Source organism: Homo sapiens, chromosome 6 (assembly GCF_000001405.40).
Source record: "Homo sapiens chromosome 6, GRCh38.p14 Primary Assembly".
NCBI classification, from domain to species: domain Eukaryota; kingdom Metazoa; phylum Chordata; class Mammalia; order Primates; family Hominidae; genus Homo; species Homo sapiens.
In genome coordinates, this window is record NC_000006.12 from 87001111 (window position 1) to 87024369 (window position 23259).

General features: G+C 41.0%; 1 protein-coding gene across 2 annotated transcripts in view; it reads left to right on the forward strand.

Moving 5' to 3' along the window:
- Positions 1-15569, forward strand: part of HTR1E (5-hydroxytryptamine receptor 1E) — a 79152-nt gene extending 63583 nt beyond the window's left edge. For both annotated transcript variants that reach the window (XM_011535789.3, NM_000865.3), the window contains exon 2: positions 14040-15569. In XM_011535789.3, the coding sequence (XP_011534091.1) occupies positions 14225-15322 (1098 nt within the window). In that variant the 5' untranslated portion in view covers positions 14040-14224 and the 3' untranslated portion in view covers positions 15323-15569. The remainder of the gene's footprint in view (positions 1-14039) is intronic.
- The last annotated feature ends 7690 nt before the right edge of the window (positions 15570-23259 follow it).

Below are 23259 nucleotides of genomic sequence, written 5' to 3' on the forward strand. Positions count from 1 at the left end.
ATTATTTGCCAGCCTCATGGTAACCAAAAATCAAAAAATATATAACAAAGACACAAAAAAGAAAACACATAAAATTAAAACATACCACCTGAGGAAATCACGTTTGCCAAAAGGAAGACAGAAAGAAAAGAAGGAAGGAAAAGAAGACCAGAAAGCAACCCAAAACAAATCAAAAAATGGCAAGAGTAAGTCCTTACTTACGGATAGTAACACTAAATGTAAATGGACTAAACTCTCTACTCAAAAGACATAGAGTAGGTGAACGGATTTAAAAAACAAGACCCAACAATCTGGTGCCTACAAGAAACACACTTTGTTACTGAAACACCAGGGCTTCTGTCTAGGTCCTGCTGCTTGCCACAGAGAAAGTCAATCACTGAGACCATGAGTATTGCCAAGGAAGAAGATTTTAATTGGGTGCTGCAGCCAAGGAGATGAGAGCTCAGTCTCAAATCCATCTCTCTGACTGACTGAAACTAGGGGTTTATATAGCAAGGAAGAAATGTAACAATGTGTAAGAAAGCAAGAATTAGAGAGGGGCAAGGAAGCAATCATGACAAATGAAGCATCTGGCATCTTATTGTCTGGATGTAGTGATCTGGTGAGTTTCAGTTCTTTAATACTTTTTGTGAGAGGCCTGAAGGTCATTTCCTGAGGAAGGAACTCAGACAAAAATAAATACAAGTTTCAAGCTTTAAGACCAGAAGGATCAATTTTTATGTCTATCAAAAAAGAACTATCTATGAGACTATTGGGTCAGTTTCAACTTCATCTATAAGGATGCATACACACTGACAATAAAGGGATGGAAAAAGATATTCAATGCCAATGGAAACCAAAAAAGATGAGGAGTCACTATAGTTATATCAGACAAAATAGATTTCAAAACAGAAACTATAAGAAGAGACAAAGAAGGTCATTATATAATGATTAAAGGGGTCAATTCAGCAAGAGGATATAACAATTGTAAATATATATGCACCCAACACTGGAGTGTGTTCGGAATTTATTCCTTCCGGTAGGTTCTTGGTCTCCCTGACTTCAGGAATGAAGCCATGGACCTTCACAGTGAGTGTTACAGTTCTTAAAGATGGTGTGTCCGGAGTTTGTTACTTCAGATGTTCAGATGTGTCTGGAGTTTCTTACTTCTGGTGGGTTCGTGGTCTTGCTGACTTCAGGAGCGAAGCCATGGACTTGGTGGCGAGTGTTACAGCTCTTAATGGTGGTGTGGACCCAAAGAGTGAGCAACAGCAAGATTTATTGTGAAGAGCAAAAGAACAAAGTGTCCACAGTATGGAAGGGGACCCGAGGAGGTTGCCACTGCTGGCTCGGGTGGCCAGCTTTTATTCCCTTATTTGTCCGCACCCACATCCTGCTGACTGGTACATTTTACAGAGTGCTGATTGGTCCATTTTACAGGGTGCTGATTGGTGTGTTTACAATCCTTTAGCTAGACACATAGTGCTGACTGGTGCATTTTTACAGAGTGCTGATAGTGCTAATTGGTGTGTTTACAATCCTTTAGCTAGACACAGAGTGCTGATCGGTGCATTTTTACAGAGTGCTGATTGGTGTGTTTACAATCCTTTAGCTAGACACAGAGTGCTGATTGGTGGGTTTATAATCCTCTAGCTAGGCAGAAAAGTTCTCCAAGTACCCACCTGACCCAGAAGCCCAGCTGGCTTCACCTCTCAGGAGCACACAGATATATAAAACAAATATTATTACAGCTAAGGAGAGAGATAGACCTCAATACAGTAATAGCTGGAGACTTCAACACCCCACTTTCAGCATTGGACAGATCATCCAGACAGAAAATCAACAAAGAAACATCAGATTTAATCTGCACTATAGACCAAATGGACCTAATAGATATTTACAGCACATTTCCTCCAATGGCTGCAGAATACGTATTCTTCTCTTCAGCACATGGATCATTCTCAAGGATAGACCATATGTTAGACAACAAAAAAGCCTTAAAACATTCAAAAAAATTGAAATGATATCAAATATCTTCTCTGGCTAAAATGGAATAAAACCACAAATCAATAACAAAAGGAATTCTAAAGACCATACAAACACATGGAAATTAAACATGTTTCTGAATGACCAGTGGGCCAATGAAGGGCCTAAGAAGGAAATTGAGGCCAGGCACAGTGGCTCAAGCCTGTAATTCTAGCACTTTGGGAGGCCAAGGCTGGTGGATCACCTGAGGTCAGGAGTTCAAGACCAGACTGGCCAACATGGCAAAACCCCATCTCTACTTAAAAATAAAAAAATTAGCTGGCCATGGTAGCATGCACCTGTAGCCCCAGCTACTTGAGAGGCTAAGGCAGGAGAATTGCTTGAACCTGGGATGCAGAGGTTGCAGTGAGCTGAGACTGCGCCATTGCACTCCAGCCTGGGCAACAGAGAGAGACTCCATCTCAAAAAAAAAAAAAGAAAAAAGAAAGAAATTGAAAAGTTTCTTGAACAAATGAAAATAGAAACACAACATATCAAAACCTGTGGGATACAGCAAAAGGTTACAGGAATAAGTGCCTACAAGAAAAAAGTAGAAAAACCTCAAATAAACAACCTAATAATATGTCTTATACAACTAGAAAAGCAAAAGCAAACCAAACTCAAAATTATTAGGAAAAAAAGGAAATAATAAAGATCAGAGCAGAAATAAGTGAAATTGAAACAAAAAATACAAAAAAACAAAGAAACAAACAGTTGGTTTTTTAAAAAGATTAACAAAATAGACAAACTATTAGTCAAACTAAGAAAAGGGAGAGAAGATCCAAATAACATCAGAGATGAAAAAGGAGACATTACAACTGATGTCAGAGAAATTCAAAAGATCGTTAGAGGCTACTGTGTGCAATTATATGCCAATAAACTGGAAAACCTAGAAGAAATTGATAAATCCCTAACCACATACAACCTACCAAGATTGAACCAAGCATAAATCCAAAACCTGATCAGACTAATAACAAGTAATGAGATAAAACCTGTAATAAAAATTCTCCCAGCAAAGGAAAATCCAGGATGTGATGACTTCACTGCTCGATTTTACCAAACATTTAAAGAAGAACTAATACCAATTCTAGTTAAACTATACCAAAATATAGAGGAGGAGGAAATACTTCCACATTTATTCTGTGAAGCCAGTATTACCCCCCAGACAAAGATATCAAAAATAGAAGACTACAGACCAATATCCCTAATGAACATTGATGGAAAAGTCCTCAGCAAAATACTAGCAAGCCACATTCAAGAACACAATAAAGATTACTCATCATGACTAAGTGGGATTTATCCCTGGGATGCTAGAATGGCTCAACATTATGCAAATCAATGAATAGGGTACATTATGTCAACAGAATAAAGGACAAAAACCATATGGTCACTTCAGTTGATGCTGAAAAGCACTTGATAAAATTCAACATCCCTTCATGATTGATAACCCTAAAAAAAATGGGTATAGAAGTACATACCTCAACACAATAAAAGCCACATGACAGACCCACAGCTAGTATCATAATGAGTGGGGAAAAACTGAAAGTCTTTCCTCTAAGATCTTGAACCCAACAAGGATACCCACTTTCACCAATGTTATTTAACATAGTGCTGGAAGTCCTAGCTAGAGCAATCAGACAAAAGAAAGAAAGAAAGGGCACTCAAATCAGAAAAGAAGTCACATTATCCTTGTTTATAGATAATATGATCTTATATTTGGAATAACCTGAATACTGCACCAAAAAACTATTAGAACTGATACACAAATACAATCAAGTCAAGGATACAAAATCAACAAATAAAAATCAGTAGCATTTCTATATGCCATCAGTGAACAATCAGAAAAAGACATTAAGAAAGTAATTCTATTAACAATTGCTACAAATAAAATAAAATACCTAGGAATAAACTTAACCAAAGAAATAAAAGATCTCTACAGTGAAAACTATAAAACATGATGCAAGACATTGAAGAGGACACAAAAAAGTGAAAAGATATTCCATGTTTATGGATTGGAAGAATAAATATTGTTAAAATATCCATACTACACAAAGCAATCTATGGCTATAAGGCAATCCCTATCAAAATACCAATGACATTGTGCACAGAAATGGAAAAAATAATCTTAAAATTTACATGGAACCACAAAAGACCTAGAGTAGTCAAAGCCATTCTGAGCAATAAGAACAAAACTGGACGAATAACATTACTTGATTTCAAGTTATATTACAGAACTATAGTAACCAAAACAGCATGGTGCTGGCATAAAAACAGACACATAGACCAATGAAACAAAATAGAAAACCCAGAAATAAATCCGTACGTCTACCATGAACTTATTTTTGACAAAAGTGCTGAGAACATACATGAGGAAAGAACAATATCTTCAATAAATGCTGCCGGGAGAACTGGCAGCATTCCATATGCAGAAGAATGAAATAGACCCCTATGTATCACCATATACAAAAGTCAAATGAAAGTGGATTAAAGACTTAAATCTAAGACCTCAAACTATGAAACTACAACAAGAAAACATTGGGGAAACTCTCCAAGACATTAGTCTGGACAAAGATTTCTTGAGAAATACTCCACAAGCACAGGCAACCAAAAGTGAACAAATTGGATCTTGTCACATTAAAAAGCTTCTTCACAGCAAAGGAAACAATCAACAAAGTGAAGAGATAACCCACAGAATGGGTGAAAATATTTGCAAACTACTCATCTGACAATAGAATAATAACCAGAATATATAAGGAGCTCAAACAACTCTATTGGAAAAAAATCTAATAATCTGATTTTAAAACAGGCAAAAGATTTGAATACACATTTCTCAAAAGAAGACATAAAAATGGTATATGAAAAGGTCTTCAATATCACTGATCATCAGATAAGTGCAAATCAAAACTACAATGAGATATCATCTTACCCAAGTTAAAATGGCATTTATCCAAAAGATAGGCAATAACAAATGCTGGTGAAGAATTGGAGAAAATGGAATCCTTGTACACTGTTGGTGGGAATGTAAGTTAGTACAACCACTATGGAGAACAGTTTGGAGGTTCCTCAGAAAACTGAAAATAGAACTATTATATGATTCAGCAATCCCTCTGCTAAGTATATACTCAAAGGAAAGAAAATCAATATATTGAAGAGACATCTGCACTCCCATGTTTATTGCAGCACAATTATAGCTAAGATTTGGAAGCAACCTAAGTGTTCATCAACAAATGAATTGATAAGGAAAATGTGGTAGCAAAGAGATACCATCTCACACCAGTCAGAACAGTGATTATTAAAAAGTCAAGAAACAACAGATGCTGGCGAGGATGTGGAGAAATAGGAATGCTTTTACACTGTTAGTGGGAATGTAAATTACTTTAACATTGTGGAATATGGTGTGGCAATTCCTCAAAGATCGAGAAGCAGAAATACCATTTGACCCAGCAATCCCATTACTGGGTATATACCCAAAGCAATCTAAATTATCCTATTATAAAGATACATGCATGTGTATGTTCACTGCAGCACTATTCACAACAGCAAAAACATGAAATCAACCCAAATCCCCATCAATGATACACTGGTAAAGAAAACGTGGTACATATAACCATGGAATACTATGCAGCCATAAAAAAGGAATGAGATCATGTCCTTTGCAGGGACATGGATGGAGCTGGAAGCCATTATCCTCAGCAAATGAACCCAGGAACAGAAAACCAAACACCACATGCTCTCACTTATAAGTGGTAGCTGAACAATAGAACACATGGACACAGGGAGAGTAACAACACACACTGGGGCCTGCGGGGGGAGTGGAAGGAGGCAGGAAGAGCATTAGAAAAAAATAGCTAATGCTTGCGGAGCTTAATAACTAGGTGATGGCTTGATAGGTGCAGCAAATCACCATGGCACACGTTTACCTATGTAACAAACCTGCACATCCTGCACATGTACCCTGGAACTTAAAATAAAAATAAAAATTAAAAGAAAATGTAGTGCATATGTACAATCAAGTACTGTTCAACCATAAAAAAGAATGAGATCCTGTCATTTTCAACAACATGAATGGAACTGGAGATCATTATGTTAAGTGAAATAAGCCAGGCACAGGAAGACAAACTTCACACAGTCTCACTTATTTGTAGGAGCTAAAATTTAAAACAATGAATTCATGGAGGTAGAGAGTAGAATGATGGCTACCAGAGGCTGGGAAGGGTAGTTGCAGGGGGTGGAGAGAATGGGGATGGTTAATGGGTACAAAAGTATAGTTAGATAGAAAAAATAAGATATTGCATTTGATATCACAACAGGGTGACTATAGTCAACAATAATTTATTCTAAATTTTAAAATAACAGAGTACAATTGGACTTTTTGTAACACAAAGAAAGAATAAATGCTGAGGTATTAAATACTCCATTACCTTGATGTGATGATTACTTGTTGTATGCCTGTATCAAAATATCTCATATACCCCCTAAATATATGCATCTACTATGTACCCACAAAAAATTTAAAATTTTTAAAAATTAAACTCTTCTGGCTGGGCATGGTGGCTCACACTTGTTATCCCAGCACTGTGGGAGGCCGAGGTGGTGGATCACTTGAGCTCAAGAGTTCAAAACCAGCCTGGGCAACACGGTGAAACCCTGTCTCTATAATAAATACAAAAATTAGCCAAAGGGGTGGCACATGTCTGTGGTCCCAGCTGCTCAAAAGGCTGAGGCAGAAGGATCGCTTGACACTGGAAGGCGGAGGTTGCAGTGAGCCAAGATCATGCCACTACACTCCAGCCTGTGTGAAAGAGTGAGATTCTGTCTCAAAAAAAAAATTAAACTCTTCTACTTGTCAAAAAGCAACATTAAAAAATACAAAGGCAAACCACAGAATGGAAGAAATGTTCACAAAACATTGTGACAACAAAAGACTTGTATCCAGAGTATATAAACATCTCCTAAAACTCTATGCACTGTTTTGAGATTATAAAATGGTAATGTTTTCTTGTTATTATGAATATAATAACCTTGTAATAATCACATGTCATATTCCAATCACAATTTAAATAAATAAAAAAAGAAAAAGAGAATAAAGAATCCCACGCTGCAGTATCTCCTCTACATCCTCCCACTGCTTCTACTGAAGATCTAATTGGGAAACAGAGTATCCACCCTTCCTTTTCCCTGGAGAGGCAAAGAAAAGTATTTTCAAAGACTGAGAAAGTAAATTTAACAAACAGAAAGATAAAATTACTAATATGAGGGCAAGTTGACATTCCTGAAATAATAAAAAAAAGAAGAAATTGGTACATGGTACATATTGAAGACTTCTTTAAATAATTGGAAGTAATTTGGGCAAAATGAGAACAATCAAAGAAGAGACGAAAGAATATTTATGGTGAATTAACAATTATTGAAAACCAATAGATTAGCTAAATTGGTGAAATTAAAAATGAACTGAGCATGCCATGTACATCAATGTCCAAAAGCAGCCATTCTCTGTGGGGAAAGGTGAGTGTTGGCTCTTCCTAGAGACAAGAGGTCCTTCATAATTAGGTTCACAGGCACTAATTTTAGAGTATAAAATGCAGCTTGCTGATTAACACATGAAACAGAATTCCAGGCTGAATTATTATTTACATTTAAAAGCACCTTTTTAAACCTCTTAAATTAAAATAAATGTATAGTTTATTAAAATATTATAAGATGATCACCCCTGCAAACCACTACCCAGATCAAGAAGTATAACTTGACAAAACACAGAAGCTGTGTCTCAATCACAATCGTGTCTCCTCCTCTAAAAATAACCACTCTCCTTATGTTTAAGCTTCCTTGAAAGTTACATCACTCAAATATATACCCCTGATAATGATAGTTTTGGTTTGCTTGTTTTTATTTTTATGTGTCTTTTGAGTCCCTTTTAGTCTATACGCCACACTTCTTTTTATTTTTTTTTTTTAATTTATTTTTTTATTGATAATTCTTGGGTGTTTCTCACAGAGGGGGATTTGGCAGGGTCATGGGACAATAGTGGAGGGAAGGTCAGCAGATAAACAAGTGAACAAAGGTCTCTGGTTTTCCTAGGCAGAGGACCCTGCGGCCTTCCGCAGTGTTTGTGTCCCTGATTACTTGAGATTAGGGATTGGTGATGACTCTTAACGAGCATGCTGCCTTCAAGCATCTGTTTAACAAAGCACATCTTGCACCGCCCTTAATCCGTTTAACCCTGAGTGGACACAGCACATGTTTCAGAGAGCACAGGGTTGGGGGCAAGGTCACAGATCAACAGGATCCCACGGCAGAGGAATTTTTCTTAGTGCAGAACAAAATGAAAAGTCTCCCATGTCTACTTCTCTCCACACAGACACGGCAACCATCCGATTTCTCAATCTTTTCCCCACCTTTCCCGCCTTTCTATTCCACAAAGCCGCCATTGTCATCCTGGCCCGTTCTCAATGAGCTGTTGGGCACACCTCCCAGACGGGGTGGTGGCCGGGCAGAGGGGCTCCTCACTTCCCAGTAGGGGCGGCCGGGCAGAGGCGCCCCTCACCTCCCGGACGGGGCGGCTGGCCGGGCGGGGGGCCGACCCCCCAACCTCCCTCCCGGACAGGGCGGCTGGCCGGGCAGAGGGGCTCCTCACTTCCCAGTAGGGGCGGCTGGCCGGGCAGGGGGGCTGACCTCCCCCACCTCCCTCCCGGACGGGGCGGCTGGCCGGGCGGGGGGACTGACCCCCCCCCACCTCCCTCCCGGACGGGGCGGCTGGCCGGGCGGGGGGCCGACCTCCCCACCTCCCTCCCGGACGGGGCGGCTGGCCGGGCAGAGGGGCTCCTCACTTCCCAGTAGGGGCGGCCGGGCAGAGGCGCCCCTCACCTCCCAGACGGGGTGGCTGGCCGGGCGGAGGGCTGACCCCCCCACCTCCCTCCCGGACGGGGTGGCTGGCCAGGCGGGGGGCTGACCCCCCCACCTCCCTCCCGGACGGGGTGGCTGGCCGGGCTGAGGGGCTCCTCACTTCCCAGTAGGGGCGGCCGGGCAGAGGCGCCCCTCACCTCCCGGACGGGGCGGCTGGCCGGGCGGGGGGCCGACCCCCCCACCTCCCTCCCGGATGGGGTGGCTGGCCGGGCTGAGGGGCTCCTCACTTCTCAGTAGGGGCGGCCGGGCAGAGGTGCCCCTCACCTCCCGGACGGGGCGGCTGGCCGGGCGGGGGGGCTGACCCCCCCCACCTCCCTCCCGGACGGGGCGGCTGGCCGGGCGGGGGGCTGACCCCCCCATCTCCCTCCCGGACGGGGTGGCTGGCCGGGCTGAGGGGCTCCTCACTTCCCAGTAGGGGCGACCGGGCAGAGACGCTCCTCACCTCCCAGACGGGGTCTCGGCCGGGCAGAGGCGCTCCTCACATCCCAGATGGGGCGGCGGGGCAGAGGCGCTCCCCACATCTCAGACGATGGGCGGCCGGGCAGAGACGCTCCTCACTTCCTAGATGTGATGGCGGCTGGGAAGAGGCGCTCCTCACTTCCTAGATGGGATGGCGGCCGGGCGGAGACGCTCCTCACTTTCCAGACTGGGCAGCCAGGCAGAGGGGCTCCTCACATCCCAGACGATGGGCGGCCAGGCAGAGACACTCCTCACTTCCCAGACGGGGTGGCGGCCGGGCAGAGGCTGCAATCTCGGCACTTTGGGAGGCCAAGGCAGGCGGCTGCTCCTTGCCCTCGGGCCCCGCGGGGCCCGTCCGCTCCTCCAGCCGCTGCCTCCCGGGCGGCGCTCGCCGGCCTATACGCCACACTTCTTATCGCCCTCCTTGTCTGCAATTTATTTAAGAAACTGGGTGATTTAACCCGTGAATTTTTTTACAGTTTGGATTCCAATGATTGCATAATCAAAAGGTAGTTTAACATGTTTCTTGATTCTCTGTGGTTTCTTTAAAGTAGTTATTGGTCTAAGATGCTTAAACTTTTAATACATTGACTTTAGACAGCTTCAACTCCATTTGCAATAGCTACTATGTGACCTCTGAATTTTTGGTAGGCAAGAGGTAAAGCAATTGCAGCCCAGAACATCATGTGGAGCCAGGAAATGCTGCTAGGAGAGAGGGTGGCTAAGCTGACAGAGTTGAGGGCAGTTTTCCTGGATCAGTTTAGAGGCCATGTGCAAAACAGAAACCTTGCAGCAGGAGGGAATGACTTATCAAAGGGAAGTGGTATCTGGAAGTGTCTAGGAATGGACAGAAGTCAGTACTTAACACAGGTTGACTGGGAAAATGCTGGGAAGTAAATAGAGAAAGGCAAGTATACCCTGGGTTCCTTCAAAGCAGTTCAGGAAAATATTCTCTAAATGATGGTGGTTACATGCAACGTAAATGAGTTGATCAGGAATGCTCCAGGTCCACCAGCATGTTAAACTTTTAATGGTTGAGACGTTATATAATATTTTCTGGTAATTCAAAGTCTTAGCAAAACTTTGTGGTAAGGATATTTGTCCCATATTTCAGATAACTCTAAGAATGCTAGGAAAGGGGAATATGTCAACAAGAAATGTTACATGTATGGCTGGATGCTATTTTCTATTTTTTCCCTTTCCTTCAGTCAAGCATGTGGCCTGGTTTATGCTTCCTTACCTCACAGATATTTCAGAAAGCGGAAGTATCAGACAGTAATCCCTATTTATGTTCTCAAAAGCCAAGCCCATAGGAGATTTATTAATAAAAGATTTGTAAATAAGTAAAAAAGGAAAAGAGAGCTTTTAATAGGTGGCTGAAAGGGTTAGAAAAAAAAATGAAGGAAGAAAGGAATTTCTCCAATGGTCTACATACCTTTCCCGCGCAAAATGGAGGAACAGAAAAGATCCTGGGGGTCTAAGACTTGGGCCAGAAGTTCTGGAAGTGCCTTGAAGAGTCTATAATATTTTAAAAAGGGATACATGCATGGTGTGGCTAGGGACTTAGGGGCTAGGCATGGGGTTCCCAACCTTAGGACATTTCCTAAGCGTGTTACGGAAGCAGTCTGGGGATCTGAAAGAACTGTAGGAGTGGGGGACAGTAAATATCTTACCAGGGACTTTCTCTGTGCATGCAACATCTGAAACCCCTCTCCCCAACCAAACCTCAATGCCTTGGCCCTAAATAATCCTCCAGAGACTTGGGGGTGTGGTTGGGGTTAGAGAAAGTCTCAAGCATGAGAAGTGAGAAGCTTAGAAGCAGCAATTAGGTTGACACATGTTCTCACTTATAACCGGGAGCTAAATATTGAATAACACATGAACACAAAGAAGGGAGCAATAGATACCAGAGCCTACATGAGGGTAGAGGGTGAGTGGAGGGTGAGATTTGAAAAACTACCTTTTGGGTACTATGCTTATTACCTAGGTGGTGAAATAAGCTGTACACCAAACCCTGCAACACACAGTTTACCCATGAAACAAATCTGCACTTGTACCCTCAAAACCTAAAATAAAAGTTGGAAAGAAAAAAAAGAAAGAACAAAATTAAGTTGACTTATTTTTAATAGGCTTTTATTACACATCAGAGTTTGTGGGATGAAATCTGTCTCCATTACCCAATGCAAAAATCACTGGGAAAATTAGTATAACAAATGACCGCAAACACTTACATAGTACTTACTATGTATTAGGCGTTGTTCTCAGCTTCTACGTGTATTAACACATTTGATCTTCACACTACTTACTTTAGAGAAAGATGTCATTATTCCTGATTTAAAGAGGAGGAAATTGAAGCAGGCTAACGTTAAAGAACATGCTTAGGATTACACTGCAGCTGACAAGTGGCAGGGTCAGCATTCAGAGTCCATGTGGGTAGTCACCACTCCAAGCTTTCTCTCCAAAACCGCTGACTCAGGCACACTTTTTAGGTTAAAGTAAATCAGGACTTATGAAGTGAAATGTCAGTTTTCTAATGGAGGAACCAGATCCAAAATATAAAACCCTCTTTAAGATAATTTTTAAGATGAGCAGGTGCCAGCTGACTCCTCCTTCTTGATAATGCTTAGGTGCTTTGGAAACTCTTCCTGGATGAGAAAGAGATTCTTGTCCCTCTTCATCTGCTGCAAAGGACAAAGCCCCAGAAGAATAATATGCCAAAGTCGGCCTTAACATCTATCATCCCTATAACCTCATCTCCCTGGTGCTCTGACCTTCACTGGGATGGTATAAAGCAGAGGCTCTAGAGTATCCCTGGAAATGAGGAGCAGCGTACACTAACCAGTTTGGTTTAGAGTAATTCTCTCCTATTTGTAATTTTTATGAAAAACAATTTAAATATGGCCTTGGACTCATGATATTTTTTATGTCACAATAAAGTGGAAATTTAAAGTTACAAATCCCCAAAAAGGTCCTCCATCAACTCCTCATAGGATGTATCCATTTTTAGCTCTGATTATTGCAGTTAACTTTCCAAAGTGCTGGGATTACAGGTGTGAGCCACCACGCCAGCATATTTACTGTGAAAGTTTAAAATCTGATTTGAAAGCTGCTTATTATAAGCAATATAATTTTTTCTTTAACGGCCCCAGAATGTTTAATGTTACATAATATGAATATATATTTTCAAATGTAAAAAAAAGCCTTTTTATATATAAACATGTATAAAAGAATAAATATAAATAAGAAATTAATTGGGGTGGCAAAGTACATTTAAAATTTTGTGATGTTTTTGTCAAAAACGATTTGAACAAATTTATAGGAAAAAAACAAACAACCCCATCAAAAAGTGGGCGAAGGATATGAACAGCCACTTCTCAAAAGAAAACATTTATGCAACCAACAAACATATGAAAAAAAGCTCATCATCACTGTCATTAGAGAAATGCAAATCAAAACCACAATGAGATACCATTTCACGCCAGTTAGAATGGTGATCATTAAAAAGCCATCATTCTGAGCAAACTATCGCAAGGACAGAAAACCAGACACCACATGTTCTCACTCATAGGTGGGAATTGAACAATGAGAACACCTGGACACAGGGCAGGGAACACCACACACCCGGGCCTGTCGTGGGGTCGGGGGACGGGGGAGTGATAGCATTAGGAGAAATACCTAATGTAAATGACGAGTTAAAGGATGCAGCAAACCAACACGGCACATGTATACATATGTAACAAACCTGCATGTTGTGCACCTGTACCCTAGAACTTAAAGTATAATAATAATAATAATAATAATAATAATAATAATAATAAGGCAGGAAGCAACAGATGCTGGAAAGGATGTGAAGAAATAGGAATGCTTTTACACTGTTGGTGGGAGTGTAAATTAGATCAACCATTGTGGAAGACAGTATGGCGATTCCTCAAGGTTCCAGAACCAGAAATAACATTTGACTCAGCAATCCTATTACTGGGTATATACCCAAAGGATTTTAAATTATTCTACTCTAAAGACACATGGACATGTATGTTTATTGCAGCACTATTCACAATAGCAAAGACTTGGAACCAACCCAAATGCCCATCAGTGATAGACTGGATAAAGAAAATGTGGCACATATACATCATGGAATACTATGCAGCCATAAAAAAGGATGAGTTCATGTCCTTTGCAGGGACATGGATGAGTTGGAAACCATATTCTCAACAAACTAACACAGGAACAGAAAACCAAACACCACATGCTCTCACTCACGAGTGGGAGTTGAACAATGAGAACACATGGGCACAGGGCCGGGAACATGACACACCAGGGCCTGTTGGGGGGTGGAGGGCTAGGGGAGGGATGGCATTAGGAGAAGTACCTAATGTAGATGATTGGTTGTTGGGTGCAGCAAACCACCATGGCACATGTATACCTATGTAGCAAACCTGCAAGTTCTGCACATGTATCCCAGAACTTAAAGTATAATTTAAAAAAAAACAGTTTGAAAACTTCCCTGAAGTAAAAAAAGTATCCTTTGAGGAACAATGTAACGATGAGCTCAAGTTCCACAGGAAAGAGAAAATTAAAATTTATAAAGAATTTATAAATATCAAACTATTTTCATGTTTTCCAGGAAAAGTGTGGCTTTCTCATTCATTAACCAATAGCATAATATTTTCCAGGAACCTTCACTCAGAAGAAATGCTGTGGCCCTTCCCTTTACCAACAGAAAATGGAACACAAGAGACCACATAGCTGAACAAATTATAGCCTCCTTACAAGTGAGAAACCTTCGAGGCTACATAGTTTTCAGCCAAAGGAAAATAACCAACAGCTTCTCCACAGTGTAGACTGAAACAAGGGAAACATGAACATCACAAACTGTACCACAGAGGCCAGCATGGCTATAAGACCCAAGACCATCACTGAGAAGATGCTCATTTGCATGACTCTGGTGGTCATCACCACCCTCACCACGTTGCTGAACTTGGCTGTGATCATGGCTATTGGCACCACCAAGAAGCTCCACCAGCCTGCCAACTACCTAATCTGTTCTCTGGCCGTGACGGACCTCCTGGTGGCAGTGCTCGTCATGCCCCTGAGCATCATCTACATTGTCATGGATCGCTGGAAGCTTGGGTACTTCCTCTGTGAGGTGTGGCTGAGTGTGGACATGACCTGCTGCACCTGCTCCATCCTCCACCTCTGTGTCATTGCCCTGGACAGGTACTGGGCCATCACCAATGCTATTGAATACGCCAGGAAGAGGACGGCCAAGAGGGCCGCGCTGATGATCCTTACCGTCTGGACCATCTCCATTTTCATCTCCATGCCCCCTCTGTTCTGGAGAAGCCACCGCCGCCTAAGCCCTCCCCCTAGTCAGTGCACCATCCAGCACGACCATGTTATCTACACCATTTACTCCACGCTGGGTGCGTTTTATATCCCCTTGACTTTGATACTGATTCTCTATTACCGGATTTACCACGCGGCCAAGAGCCTTTACCAGAAAAGGGGATCAAGTCGGCACTTAAGCAACAGAAGCACAGATAGCCAGAATTCTTTTGCAAGTTGTAAACTTACACAGACTTTCTGTGTGTCTGACTTCTCCACCTCAGACCCTACCACAGAGTTTGAAAAGTTCCATGCCTCCATCAGGATCCCCCCCTTCGACAATGATCTAGATCACCCAGGAGAACGTCAGCAGATCTCTAGCACCAGGGAACGGAAGGCAGCACGCATCCTGGGGCTGATTCTGGGTGCATTCATTTTATCCTGGCTGCCATTTTTCATCAAAGAGTTGATTGTGGGTCTGAGCATCTACACCGTGTCCTCGGAAGTGGCCGACTTTCTGACGTGGCTCGGTTATGTGAATTCTCTGATCAACCCTCTGCTCTATACGAGTTTTAATGAAGACTTTAAGCTGGCTTTTAAAAAGCTCATTAGATGCCGAGAGCATACTTAGACTGTAAAAAGCTAAAAGGCACGACTTTTTCCAGAGCCTCATGAGTGGATGGGGGTAAGGGGTGCAACTTATTAATTCTTGAACATACTTGGTTCAGGAGAGTTTGTAAGTATGTGTGGTCTTGTTTCCTTGTTTGTTTGTTTGTTTTGTTCTGTTTTGTTTGAGGATTGTTATTTGGCGTGCTGTTTTCTACCTCTGGTCTTATCTGTGATACATAATTTCAAATAAACATTATCATACAAAAACAGAAATTTTGTAGAAGTAATAATAAGATGAAATACTAAATACCTTTTATGGGTTTTTTTTTTTTAGCCATTTCAGTTACCCTGCAATTAAAGAATGCCAAAAATATCTTTATTTGCAGAATTTCTTATTACTTATAAATTAAATACCTGATAATGCCCTCCATGGCATTAAATCTGAGATTATGGCTCTATCTGCGTACATATTCCAGTGGGAATTGCATGACTACATAAAGAATTAAAAGAAAGTGATGTGCTGTCATCTACTGCTTGCAGACCTGAGCTAAAGTCGTTTGCTGTAGCACTGTGACTACATAGCCTATTCATTTCAGGTAAAAATAGTACAGCTGGCTTGTCCTTTTTAGTTCATGATTAAATAAACTTCCTCTTTTTCTAAAATGGAAATACCTGGAATAAATGCACTGGCACTTTTCTATGTCTTTTACTATGAATATAAAACATAAAGCAAATAACAAGTCATCTAAATCTACTTTGGTCAGTGTGTTGCAATATTACCTGACAGACACATTGGGCCTCCTCCAATTCTAAAATCTATCCCAGCTAAGCCACCCATATACACTTTCACTGTAGCAGGACAAAGGTAGGAGTACATGTCAAATTTGGGAAACTTTTTAAGAAGCTTAATGAGGTGCAGTGATCAAATGACAGAATATATTATCTGAAGAACTTCATTGGAGACTATTACTCATTAAATTACCAGTTGCAGCCGGGCGTGGTGGCTCACGCCTGTAATCCCAGCACTTCGGGAGGCCAAGGCAGGTGCATCACCTGAGGTCAGGAGTTCGAGACCAAGCTGGCCAACATGGTGAAGCCCCATTTCTGCTAAAAGGGCAAAAATTAGCCAGGCATGGTGGCACGTGCCTGTAATCCCAGCTACTCAGGAGGCTGAGGCAGGAAAATGACTTGAACCTGGGAGGCAGAGGTTGCACTGAGAAGAGATCATGCCACTGCACTCCAGCCTAGGCAACAGAATGAGACCCTGTCTCAAAAAAAAAAAAAAAATTACCAGTTGTGCTCTTGGGGAAAAAAAGTAAAAGTTGAAAAACTGTGTTTACACCAAAGGCCACTCATCAGGATATGAGAATGAAATTGCGTCTCCCAGAATCCCTGTGGCTTCTGTGCCAGACTGTACCCTGGGGCCAGGAGGCTGCAGGTGGGACCTGAAGCCCTGGGTGTGGCCTGAGAAGGAGTGATTGCTCTAGTCACATGGAGGAGTACACCATTACAAAATCAAGAGTGATGGTAGGAGGACTGAAAGTTTGTACATTCTTGCATACTCCTAAGTAGGTGACCGTTCTCAACCTCTGCTCCTAGTCTGTCATCCACAGCCTCTCCCCATCTCTTCACTCTTCTTTGTAGGGAGAAGACATTGATTTGCCTCCTTTCCACCTCCGTGTTTTTAGTCCTTCAATCTAACCCCTCTCAACGTTTCTAGAATCTTGCTTCTTACACCCAACCTCCCTCTGCAACTTCCTTTCTCCCTCCCCATCCCAACACTTTTCCTCCTCATTCCTCTTTAATCTCACCTATTACTTTGCTCAAGTCCCTTGGACACAAAAATCAACTTCCTCTGGCCCTACTTCCCCATCAAGCTCCTACTTCATCTCTCCCTTAACTCCCTTACCTGGGTTTCTCCAATCATTAATCCACTCATTCTGCCTCCACTTTTCACCTTCCACTGACTTTTCTATCCTTTTCCATCTGAGTATGCCCTAGTTCTCCCCAAACTTATCTCCCAAAGGTCATTGGAGACTTGCCCATAGTCCTTCTCTGCATCTCTACCTGTCATTTTCTCATGAGTTACAACAGCTAACCATCCCTTTCATGTTTAAGCCCATACCTTCCAGGATATTTTGCTCTCCTGGTTCTCCAACTAACTCCTCATCTATTCTTTGTCTCCTTTCCTTCCTCCTGAGGTTTTGTCCTCAGCAATCACCTCCTATATCTCCATATTCCATCCCAACTTCGGCCATTTCAACAATTAGTTTCATGCCTGTGGCTCCTAAATTTGTGACTTTAGTCCTGATCTTTCTCTTTCTCAAACTGCAGACCCATGAGTTACATCTGGTGAGCCTCTCCCTATGAATATTTCTTTAGTACCTCAAACACAGCCTTTCTATACTGAACTCAAGATAATTTTCCCACACTCAAGCCTTCTCCTCTTTCTACCTTCTCAGTCTCAGATAACAGAATTACCATGCTTTTTATCATTCCTATTAGATGAATGTAATTCTCTCTCTTTGCCTCAGGTCTCCAACATCCAGATAGTCCTGAAGTCTTGTCCATTTACCTCACAGAAACATGTGTTTAGGCCACTTGCTCTCCAATAAGTTGGTCCTCTCCCCTAGATCAAATGTTATTTGATCCACCTGCCTCTGGATTCTCCCACCTGCAACTCGGCCCCCACACATCTCCCAGTGTGAGTTTCTCACTGAGGCATCTCCAGACTAGCAGCATTAGCAGCACCTGAGAATTTGTTAGAAATGCAAAGTCAAGGGCCCCATTCAAGACCTACTGAATCAAAAACTAAGAGTGGAGCCCATTAATCTCTGTTTTAAGAAGCCATCCAGGAGATTCTGATACAAGCTAAAGTTTGAGTCACTATTTTAGAGCATACAGTAGATTTTTAATTGCATTGTTCAAAATCCTTTACTCTTTCCCTATCAATATAAAATAAATTAATAGTCCATAGTATAGCATTCAAGGCCTCTTACTTTGTGGCCCCAAACTATCTTTGCAGAGTTATATCTCACCACTTCTTTTCACCTACTTCATGCTCCAGAAAAATGTGAGTATTACCTGTGCTTTCTAAACTCCCCTAACATTTGATCCCATTGCTTCAGAAACCTGGCCTCCATGGCTTCACATCTTTCTTCCACCAAATCTTCATATGCAGCTCAAATGCAGTCTCTTCTAAAAAGTCTTCCTGAGATACTTCTTCCTTCCCTGTCCCTATGGAAGTCTTCTCTCCCAGCTCTATGCTCCCATATAACTTCACTTGTATCTCTAATACTATATGCATCCTATCTTCTAGTGCATTTGTTTGTGTATTTGTGCTGTCTTCCCTAGTAGATTGTGAGCTCCTTGAGGGCAGGGACTGTGTCTGTTTCCTCTCTGTATCTCTAGGGACTCATACCATGTTTTACACACAGTCGGCACTCAGTGTCTGTTAATGTGAATGGAATTAAGTCCCTGGAGGAGAAAATATAAATGTGTCATCTTTTCTCAGTGAGAAAACAAAACTTCCAAAGTCCATGATGCAATACTGACCTTTTTTTTTTTCCAAATCTTACCCTGACATTCCAGGTTTGTTTCGAAAAATTCTGGGAAAAACTTATGTATGGAAAGAAAATAAATTTCTCATTGAATATAAGTGAATATTCTTTATTAATTAGGATTCCAGATAAGCTGTTCTCAAAAGAGGGAAAGGAAAAAGGAGAGATTCGATACAAGGAGACAAAGAATAATCTCTGCCACAAGGGGATATTGGTTTCTGTATGAGCAACTCAAATATTACTGGGAAAGTCACATGGCTGCCCAGCTAAGGGTGATCTGTGTACAAGGATGTTGGCATCTAAATTACAGGTGATTTTACCAAGATTGTGCCTATGCTCAAAATTCAGTATTTATTATGACTGCAATATCTAGAAAGTATATGAGCCACTCACACTGCTTTCCCATCATCCTCCAGATGTTATCTTTGAAAATTCTTGGCAATTATAAGAGTTTTAAAGTTTTAAGAGTCTAAGTAAATAAAAAGCAAAAAGCAGATACATAATAATTTTTACTTGCTTATTTTCATTAACTCATTTCCTAATCACTAGGTAAATCCTAATTAAATACATTTATCTCACAGCTGCCTCTGCCCTTAGCAAAGAAGTTGCATATATTTCCTGGTATAAACCAAACCTGTTGAAAAATAATCTATTGTTTGCTTTGCTTATTGAGCCAATAGTGCCAGCTGCCACTGACTACTATTGTCCCCTTTAAACTAAAACTTGAATGAAGTAATAGTACCTTTTAATAAGATCAGTGTTTCTCATGCAAACATTAGTATGCTAAAAGTAAACCCTAGGGATGGCATTTTGATTGCCTCCATTAGAAATTAGGACTTCTTAGCTTTCTATTCTTGGTGAAAGAATTCTTGAATATAAGTCACTCCCTGGTAGAGCTGACAGGTCCTTTAGTTACAACAGGTGGCAGTAAGAACCCCCATCAGCATTGCTACCATGGTCTGCTTTGGGTAACACTACAGGCCTCCTATACTTTCGGACTTCAGTTTTCAAACTCTGATAATTACGTATGAGGTAAGTTCCTAAACAAGTTCCAGCAATTGCACTGGCTTCCAGCACAACGCATTTTAGCTTCAACCATCACACTGGTCTTGGTCTACTAATGTGTGTGTGTTGCCTTTGCTTAGTTTTTAAGGTCTTCTACACACAACTTTTAACTCCATTATGCACAGCATTTGCAAAAGCAGTGATAGCATTCAAAAAATTAGTGAAAAGAAGCATATGACTATGACAAGAATACAAATAAAGATAATTTTTTAAGTAAAAGTGCTGAGAAAATGACAACCATCGTATATGAGAATGGGATCAAATCTTGCTCGGTTTTCAAGGACTGCCACACATAACAGGTGAAGACCTCTGTGCCTAAGTATGGACTATAATTAAGGAGAAAAGAAGGAAAAGTGGTTAGAGATATAAAAGTGTCTGAGCACCACACAGTAGTTTTAAAGGGAGTTTGGGAATGTGTGTAGATATTATCAGTTGTCTCCATAGAGAATAGTAATGGCATTTTCGTGGTAGCATTCAGTAAGTCTAAACCCTGCAGTAGATAAATCAGTCCCACTCAATAAAGGATTGTCTCACCCAAAATACCAATATCACCACCTGCTGAGAAATTCAGGAGTATCAGCATCAATATGGGATGCTCAGAAGTCTAAGGTTAATTTAGAAGTTGACTAGGAGTTGTTTGAGAACTTAAAGGTGAAGCATGGTGAACGTTGCTTACAAAATTTCATTAAGAGCAATGAAAGGTTTCAAAGTTTCAAAGCCAATTTGAATTTACTCAACATTAAAGTGAGGGTCAAGCCAGCAAATGAAAACACCACAATGATTAAAGAGTTTCCCATGACACTGACAGAAGTAACTAAGAAAGGGGCCCAATAAAATGCCTATCAGCAAAGAGGAGTGTGTGCATGGTATTAATGCTTCAGAGGATTGACTCACATCCTTATTTGATGGAAAACCTTACAAAGACTATAAGTATAGTCTCTCCTAAGCCACCTCAGATTTAGAATTAAAAAGAATTGATGGACAACCTTCAGACCTTAACTAGTTTATACATTGGAGAGCTTCTCTTAAATTGGAGAGAAAGCAAGAATGTTATCCACTTCACATGTCCTCAAGTAATGGTGTTGAGGTGGAATCTCAGGCACTGGTCCATAAGAGAAGGAGACATTTCAAATGGTAGGAAGGAGAAACTGGATATTCTTGGGACCCTAAAATTATCCAAGGACATTTAACCCTAAAATTATGCAAGGACATAGGGAATAATTTTAGGGTTTCAGTAATATCCAATGTACCCGTAGAGGGATCCTCTAGGACCACACCCTAGAGAATATACAGTGGTTTTCAGCCTTACCACAAAAATGGTTTTAAATTATTTTCTTCAGAATAAATAGGGATCACTCTGAGGGGAAATTCCTTCAGTAAAGTCATCTTTTGGCTGCCTAGAAGCACCTAGCACAGAGCATGGTGGCATATAATTTATATAATATATCTATTGGATGAACTTAATTGGAACGGATACACTGATTATAGATTTCAAGAAGTTTAGAAGGAGGCTAGGCTCAGTGGCTCATGCCTATAATCCCAGCACTTTGGGAGGCCAAGGCGGGCAGGTCACCTGAAGACAAGAGTTCAAGACCAGCTTGGCCAACATGGGGAAACCTCATCTCTACTAAAAATACAAAAATTAGCCAGTTGTGGTGATGCACACCTGTAATCCCAGCTATGCGGGAGGCTGAGGCAGGAGAACCACTTGAACCTGAGAGTCAGAGGTTGCAGTGATCCGAGACTGCACCACTGCACTCTAGTCTGGGTGAAGGAGTGAGACTCTGCCAAAGAAAAAAAAAGGGAAGGAAGGAAGGAAGGAAGGCAGAGAGGGAGGGAGGGGAGGGAAGGGGAGGGGAGGGGGGAGGAAGGAAGGAAGGAAGAAAGGAAGGAAGGAAGTGGGGGAGGGAGGGGGAGGGAGGAAGGAAGGAAGGAAATAAATAAATTTAGAAGGAGAACTATGTAATGGGTAAGGAGGGCACCTTCTCATATGGAAGTGGAATTGTCAAATACCTACAATTTTTTAAAGGAAAGGGAGTATCCAGGACAATGATAATGATACGAAAGAAACAGCAAAGGGAGGGGCTGAGAGATGGCATCAGCAGAATTTTAGGTAATCGAAACACACTGAACACCTGCTGTAAGTTTAAGTACATTGTGAAATTTTTTAATTGAAAAAGAAAAATAGGAATAAAAGCAATAATATGAAGCAAGAGAGAACACAGCAACAGAAAGAGCAGAGGTTAGAATATATTAATAATATCAATTGTCGTTTGTTGTTAAAAATGTTAATTTAGCCTATGCTATGACTTTAGCATCATACTAGGCGCTGGGATCTCTGTAAGGAGATAAAAAAAAGTGGGAGTGGTGCAGCAGATGATCCAAGTGGAAAACCATGAGACCCAGATCTTACGAACAGATTTGTAGAAAGCTGATTATATTTATTTTCTGTATAAAATGGTATTTTAGAGAGAATTATAAGGGGGTGGGAGGGAAAGGAGGCATAGGAGAACATTTTGCACATACGAATCTTGGGGAAAATGAAAATGATCCTGGAAACTCTGGAGAATAGAGAAGGGATGGTTGTTCAAAGAAAATATATAAAGAATATCTATAAGCAGGAATACATATTCCTGTATTTTTAGATACAAGAAATAAGGTCATATGGGCTATCATATTTTTCCAACTTGTCTAGTATCCAACAATCATACATCAAGTAAAGACTCAAGAAAGCTAATATATGAAGACATCCAAAAGAAAGATGTTGGAAACAGATTACTGAGAAAAATTTAGACTTGTATGCAGTCTAATAATAAGCAGACCAGTAACCTCAAGTGTTTCCAGTTCATAAACACTCAATAAGAGATTGGCAAATGAATAAATCAGTTGCTCAGTTAAGAAATCAAGCCTGAGCTGGAAGTTGGATAACAAAGGAGAACAATTTGGCAATCTAGCAAAAGTATTTAGGTAAGTTAGTAAGAAAGATGCTAATAAAATATGCATTCAGAGGTATGAATTAGTCATATGAAAAAGCTGAGGCTGCAAGCTGAACATTTAGCCATCCTTTCTTCTTGTACTTTGGAGGGTGGGAGAAGTGTTTTATAGAGAACAATAATAATACTCAAAATGTAAATTGTTTTGACAAATACTATAAAAATGTTGAGGCAGCATGCAGGTTTTTACCTGATAGCTTTACCTGATTATTTCTCATTTATCACTTTTTTACTAATAAAAACTAAGACCTGACTTCCCATTCGAATCACACACACACACACACACAGAACCAAAAACAGTGTCCTCCACCTCAGTAAGGAAAGCAAAGATCAGGTTGATA